The sequence below is a fragment of the Homo sapiens genome, chromosome 13, assembly GCF_000001405.40.
Source record: "Homo sapiens chromosome 13, GRCh38.p14 Primary Assembly".
Classification (NCBI taxonomy): Eukaryota; Metazoa; Chordata; class Mammalia; order Primates; family Hominidae; genus Homo; species Homo sapiens.
Window position 1 is genome coordinate 90,721,917 of NC_000013.11, and position 8,275 is coordinate 90,730,191.

Genomic DNA, 8,275 nt, shown 5'->3' on the forward strand with positions numbered 1-8,275 from the left:
GATTGCTGATGTCAATACTAGTAGCACCACAGGGAAGATAAAAACCAACAATTGGGAGATTACATCATTACAGATGTAATTTCCTCAACATCTTTAAGTGTACCTAACGAAAGATTGATAGCAAATTTAATGAGCAGCTGTTCTTATGCTGAATGCACATGATGCTATTATATAAAATGGAAACAACTGGAAATGTGTCAGAAATGCGCTTTACATCATTAGTCAAAAATGCCATTGATTGATCAGTATCATACTGTGTTTGGCCCCAGCAACTACTTCTGCATTGTTCAGGACAAATGACATGTAAAAGAAAGTTTCAGGTAAAATCCATGTTTAAGAAAAAAAAACATTTTTTCATAAAGAAAATGTCAGTGTCTTTTTGAAGCAATATGACGATGAACTGTCTCCTGTCACATAAAGGAAAGTAACTCTTTTGGCAAATTATGTTGTCTTATCTTTTGCCAGGTACTCATTTGGTAAACTGCTGCATATATTGTTTTTCTCTCATAGCTATAAATTATATCTGGTTTCTTCTAAATTGCAACTTATTTAATGGACAATTATTGAGAAATTATTTCTGCATGACTTGACTGGTGAAATGTAAGGGAGAAATGGAGGTCATTTAATGTTTTAGGGAATGTAGTCCCAGACTGAAAGGAGAACACAGCATAATGAATAGAAGTTTACTCTTAGTGTGTTCCACATATTCCCCTTTAGCTTTCCCTTTTCACATTGACTAGGTTAATTAATAAGACTCATTGATTAAATAATGGTAGAAAGGGCCATCACAGCAACCAGAAGCAGAAATCATACAAATTTGGTTGCAACAAGACCTCGCAAACTCACAGGTTCTTGTTTTTGACTTTGCTTAATTCTCTTCCCCACCTTTTGGGAATGAGTGAGGAGAGAGGCACTAATTGACCCAAAAGAGTGGGAATACTACCAGGGCAAAGTATGGCAAAATTCTTCTAAAGCATGAAGAAGATCAACCAACTAATTTGGAAAGGGAATTTAAGAGGTTTATCTTGTTATGGTCAGATAGGAAAATGACCTTGTTACTACTCTGAAGATTGGTCATTTCAATGACAAAACACAGAAAAAGGAGGATCTGAAGAAGTATTATTAAATGTTTCATATTAAAGGGAAAGCAGATAATTCAAAATTATAAACTCCTATTATTTTTAAACACAGAAGAAAAGTAATACCCCAGAATTTAAACTCAAAATCAGTAGTTCCCATTCCCTTCACAACCTTTTCAAGTTTTCATTTAATCATATCAGTTACTGGTTATCTGATAGTAATGGCTATAATTTTAAAAATATGCATATAGAACTCTTTCACAATATATGAGCTTTTCTATTATCTTTGCCTCTTGCAATGAAAGATGGGGGCGCAATAAATTTAACTTACTGCCACTTCCTCTATCGTTCCTCATACCCACTATATCAAAATTTTTAATTATTTTTAGTGTTTCGACAGATTATTTTGTAACTGTAAGTGATACATGTTCTCTATTTCTTACTGAATCTCCTTTAGACATTCTCTCTTATTTTCCTTACTAGGTATGAATATTAGCACTTTTCTACCACCCACTCCATTTTTCAATAGTTACAGCTCCCTACCCTTATCTTATCAGGGTTAGTCATTTGTCCTTTAAAAATAATTAGGCACTTAGTCTTTTGTCCACAGATGATTTCTGAAGGTTAAAAACCAATAAACATTTACATAAATCTGTGTATATAAATATTTCTCATTGCAAAACCCACAGGAAAGCTAAGAAGCATTTCCTTCTTCAATTTACTAGCCTCTATAAGGTCCAAGGTCAGGACAAGAGTGTTGCTCACAGTGGAGTGTTCCTAATACCAAGGACAAACAAAATTTTATTTTCTTATATTTCATTAATTGTTCCCAAGAATAACACATTTTCCCTTGCCTCATATGTAGACCTTGACTTTCTATTACTCATGTTTTGTTGTCGTTTTGTTTTGTGTGTTTGTTTTTCCTGACTTTTCTAATTTTCAACTATTTTATCTTGTAAGAAAAAGAAACATTTATGTATATATAATATATATATACATCACTAGTATATTCCAGCTTTTTATATAATTACTCGACTGTTCACTAGCCAATGTCTTTTAGATATGCATTTTAGAGCCACTGATGTTTAGTCTTATAACTACTTTCAATGCCTGTTCAGAATTGTCCTTTTAGGATTTCATTTTCTTGAGCTCTGCTTCTGAAATAGTACATGGAGGAGAGTTGTTTAAAATGCTATCATTTACGAAAATGCATTTATTTTCATTTATAATTGATGGACAGTTTGTCTCAGAGATGAATACCAGCTTGAATAGCACTTCTCTTAAAAATCTGAGGTTGTTTTATCTTTATCTTCCATGACCCACAGCTTTTGATAAATATATAGGTCTTAGCCTTGCTTCTTTGGTGCTAACCTGCTTTTTTTTTTTTTTTTTACAATCTTGAAGTTTTTAATAACTCTCCTTATTCCTATAACATTGACAATTCAGAAAGTAAACTTACATGTGGGGCTTTTAAAATTTCTTCTGCATGCCAATTTGTGAATATCTTTGATTTAAATTCTTGTATCATTTATTAAGCCTGGCAAATTTTCTTTTTTTCCTTTAGTGTCTTCCTTGCATTTTTTTCTTTCTCTTTTAATTTTTTTCCTAATTAATTGAAGTATAACAACATGGAGAATTATATAAATCAATAACTAGAGCATTCATGAATGTCTCAAAGTGAACAAGTCTCTGATATCTTGACTATCCAAGTCAAAATAAAAAAGATTACCAAAAAAAAAAAAGGATAATTCCCTTATGTTGATTCCCAATTCCTATACTTTTTCATCCTACACAATATAACCCTTAACCCAGTTTCTAAAACTATAGACTAGTTTTGCCTGTTTTGTTTTTTAACTTTTGTAAAAGGAGTCATGCAGTATTTATACTTACATGTCTGACTTCTTACACCCAACATTGGTTTTATGAGATTATTATTGAGTGCAGTCATAGTTCTTTTATTGATTCTTTCATTTATGTTATACTGATAGGTATTAGAATATCACATTGTCATATTAATTTGCATTTTACTATTATTAATGCTTGATACCTTTTCATGCTCATTGAATATTTGGATGTCCGCTTTTGGTAAGTCCTTGCTCTGCTTTTTCTATTCTGATATGTAGGATTTTCTTATATATTCTGGATATGGGCCATTTGTAAATTATATAAGTTGAAAATATTTTCTTCTCTGTAGCTTGTTTTTAATTCTTTTAATGCTTATAGTTCATAAACAGAATTCTTAATTTTAATATTACCCAACTTATTTTTATCTTCCTTTAATTTAGGGCTTTTGTGTCCCATTTACCTACCCCAAATTCATGAAGATATTTTAAAATATATTCTAAAAGTTTTAACTTTATGCCTTTCATATTTTGGATTTACAATCAACATGAAATTGATCTTTATGTATGATGTGAGATAAAGGTCAAGTTTTATTTATTTTCATGAGAGGATCCAATTCATCCAGAACCTTTTATTGAAAAGAATATCTTGCCACCAATATTATTTAATATAATTCTTTTTTTTTTTTTACCAAGTCTTGCTCCGTCGCCCAGGCTGGCGTGCAGTGGCACTATCTGGGCTCACTGCAAGCTCCGCCTCCCAGGTTAACGCCATTCTCCTGCCTCAGCCTCCCGAGTAGCTGGGACTACAGGCGCCCGCCACCACGCCTGGCTAATTTTTTGTATTTTTTAGTAGACACGGGGTTTCACCGTGCTAGCCAGGATGGTCTCTATCTCCTGACCTTGTGATCCACCCGCCTCGGCCTCCCAAAGAGCTGGGATTACAAGTGTGAGCCACCGTGCCTGGCCTATTTAATATAATTCTTACTATAAGTCAAGTGTTCACATATGTGTGGGTCTATTTTGTTCTATTAATCTCTTTAGTATCCTTTGTGCTAATTTTATTTTGTATTAATTCAAGTACTTGTAATTCAAGGACTGTGACACCTTAGAAAAAGAATGCAGAGGGGTGAACCCTACAACTGCCTCAGCTTATTACTTAGAGGCAATTGCTCTATTGAGAGGTGCGGGGAGACAGTACCCTGCCAGAGTCATGCGATGTAGCTTAGTGGAGGGAGGGCAAGATAGCTAGAGTCTGTAGGGCAGAATACTAGAGAGAAAGTGGTGGTAGAGAGAGAGAATCTAGAGACTTGTAGAGGGAACCCCTGGAAGTCTTGGTTAAATACTTATCTGTATGTGCATAAGAAGAAATTACCTAGGACTAGAGAAAGCATGATGCAAACAGTTTGTGTCCTATGAGCCAGAGCAGAAAGATCTTACAAACACAGAATATTGGATAGAATCCTAAAAAGGGATATAATCTCAGTAGAGCTAAATTAGCCATATACTAAAGAATTCCATAACACCCACATAACTGAGAATTAAGTTAGAATGCAAAAAGACCAATCTAATTTCAGGTAACTTAATTGAGCAAAATCCAACACCAAGCAATATAAAATTCAGAGTATACAATAGCCAAACAAAATTTACCAGGCATGCAAAGAGTAGGAAAAATATGGCCCATAACTATAGACAAAAAAATAAATCAGTGTAAACAAAGCCAGACATGATGGAATTAGTAGCTGTTGTAAAAATACACCATATGTTCAAGAAGATAGAGGAAATCGTTAACAGGGTTAGAAAGAAAAAGATATACATTTTATTTTTAGTAGCTTATTGGTGATATATAAAAACAAAATTAAATTTTATGTATTGATGTTGAATGAAGATATGCAGGTCAGATAACCCTTCAAGAACGGCCTTGCTTTCCAGCTGCAAAAATTGATTGGCTGATATTTTCTATTTTAGTTCTCTCTAGATATGCCTCAGTATTTGGTCTGAGGTCATACTCTTCAGAATGACCCCTGGATAATGACTAAGCAAGAAGATAGTAACGGAAGTCTTTCTTCTTCATATGCCCCTAAACAATAGCTAATGCAATATTTTCCTTAAAGGGGAGGGTTCCTTTTGTGGAGAAGATGGAGGAAAATGGCCCATCTTGGTTCAAATGCAAATTGAAACAAATATGATTTGGCTCCATATATCAGAGTAAACTGGAACAAAATGTAGCTGTCATACAGGCCCACTCAGGGACAGCCTTGAAAAATAGCACAAATGGAAAATCTTCCCAATGGGCAGAACTTTTCAGCAGAACTTTTTTACCTGATCTCTCATTTTGTGTGGAAATTGAAGCTACCTAAGGTGAGAATTTACACAAACTAATAGGGAGAAACCAAAGGCTTTGTCAGGGCCCTGGAAGATTAGAAGATTGGAGATGTAGGCTTGGGTAGAAGAGTCTGGATGGACCTATGGGAGGTAGAACGTAATGTGAAGATCACTGTACTTCATGCTAATGCCTACCAGATGGCAATTATTCTGAAAGAGGCACTGAATAACAAGTAGACACATTGACTTGGCCCACTGTTATCAGACAGTCTCTGTCTCTGGGCGACCCAGTTGTGAATGGAAGCATCAAGGTGGCTCCCACTCATCGAGTTTGATCTGTCTACTGCTTCTACTAAACATCCAACCTGCCAGGAGGAGGGACAGGCACTGAGCCCTTATTACAGCATCATCCTTTGAATAAGTCAGTGGGCCACATGGTGGCAAATCAACACAGTGGACTTCTTTTGACCAAGAGTTACTTTTGATTATAAACATTTCTATCATTTTTACATTTTGCTTTTCTCACCTACAAACCCTCAATAAGTGTCACTATTAAAGGGCTTATAGATTGATTCATAGCCAATGCATCACATATAATATCGAATCATGACAAGAACAGAAGCATAAATTGCCCCATGACCAAGGCATTCACTGGTCCTATCCTAAACCACACCCATCAGAAGCTGCTGGCCTGTGGGAATGATGGAGCCATTGATGGCACAGCTGGGGTGCCACCTTGGAGATAATTCCCTTTGAAGAGATTCACTTTCTGCCAGGAAACAGTACAATTCCCATATCTGCAATTATCATATGGAGTTGTACCCAGTAGATAGACTACATAGGTCTAGGAACTCAGGAGTCAAAATAGGGAATTCTTCATCTACCATCACTCCTAGTAACCTTCCTGGAGAATATGTTTCTTTTTCCCACAACTCTGTACTCTGAAGTGTTAGAGATCCTGATCTCTCAAAGGGAAGCACCTCAGCAATTCCCTTAAACTTTATCCTGCACTCAGCTACTCTAAGCTGTCTTGTCTAAGATCAGGGTCCTTCCCAGGCAGCCCACGCCAATGACTGGTTGATATTTATAAAAGCCCATCCTCTAGCCCTAAAACGAGACAAATCTGAAGGTCCATGACAGCTTCAGACTTTTGTCTGGGGCCAGCTGAAGCCTCTACTGCATTTGTATTGCAACTCGAGTTTCTCTGTGTGCCCAAACTTGCTTTCTTTTCTTCCCCTCTCAGGTATCAATGCTAAGCACATTCTCTAATAAACTTCCAGCATGCCTAATCTTGGTCGGTCTACTTCCTGGAAAATTCAGACCATAACTGCTCATCACTACAGTCAATTTCATCCCTCACCTGGTCCGGCGGCTGACATGTGTAATCCCAGCACTTCGGGAGGCTGAGGCAGGAGGGTTGCTTGAGTCCAGGAGTTTGAAACCAGCCTGGGCAACAAAGTGAGGGCCCATCACTACAAAAAAGATTAAAATGAAATAAAAAATTAGCTGGGTGTGGTGGCACACTCCTGTAGTCCCAGTTACTTGGGAGGCTGAGGCAGGAAGATCATTTAAGCCTAAATGGTAGAGGCTACAGTCAGCCATGATAATACCACTGAACTCCAGCCTGGGAGAGGATGAGACCCTGTCTCAAAAAAAAACTAACAAAACACTTCATCTTTCAAATACTTCCAGACACTTTCTGTTCCAGAAATTTTACAAGGTCTCTTGCCACTAGAAATTGCCTCCTTTTTTATTTCATGATGTGTTTATTTCCTTTTATGCTCTTTTATAATTTTATTTTAATAATTTTGGAAGAAGAGAGGCATGCATAATTCTTGACCCAGATCTTTCAGTTTATAATATTAAGCTTAGTACATACATCATACTTTTAGAGTCTAAAATGCTCAATAACAATTTTATGTGAATTTAAATTTGTGATCAAAATTGTAGCCAAATAATATTGTCAAATCTTTGTAAGGATGCAATTCTGCAATATGAAATTACCAATGGCTTTTGCAAATGACAAGACTTTTGAGGATATATGATAGCAATAACAGAAATGCTGTTGTTTATAATTGTGTTTGAAGTAACACAATTACATTATCATAAATGGACAATACAAGCAATGTATAACAAAAAGCTTTATGGCACATTGTGTTTGAATTTTTCTGACAAAATATTTTTGAAACTAAAAATACTAAATTTGTGAATCTCCTCAATGTACTATACTGATACAAGGAAATAATATTTATACTTAATTTTGATAATTTTACAATATTTTATAAGTATTCTAGATACAGAATAGAAACTAAAATTCCCATATTTCTCTATACATATATATATCTTGAAATGTATTTCTACAAACTTGAAAATAAATAAAATTTGATTTACATATAGACAGGTCAGTAGCTCAGAAACTCTCTCCAGAATAGTAAATTACCCTGAAACAATTCCTTTGGCATATATCTGTTTCCTAAGCAATGAGATCAGCTTCACTACACCATATCTTCTATGCTTTCAAAGACCCAGAACTCTTAAATTTTTAATAAAGCTCCCCTGTAGGTTCAAAATGCAAGAGATAATGATGATGCTGAAACAATCAGCAATGTATGTGAGATGGAAATTTATTAACGCTCTCAAAAATGTTTTGTAAAGAACACTGGATCTACATATGATCATTTTAAAAACTATAATGATACATGCAATGTGAAAAATTTTGAAAATCGAAGAAAAATACACATTTACAAGAACCAAGCCTTTGAAAATGTATGCTTGGGAACAAAATGGTAATTGTTTTCTTTTGCAAGTAAAACATTTAAGGCAGGATCAGTAGTGAAGCTTTCTTAGGTATATATTTTTGTTTCCTGATCTCACAGGGTTCATTTGTACAGATGTGTTAATCTAATCTGTCTTTCTACACTGTGAGTAATTCACAAGAGTTATGCCTCTGTCTTGCTTATAGCAAAGGTTTCTTTTAAAATTTCTGTTAATCACACAATTTCTGAATTAGTAAATTCTCCCTGTACAAGT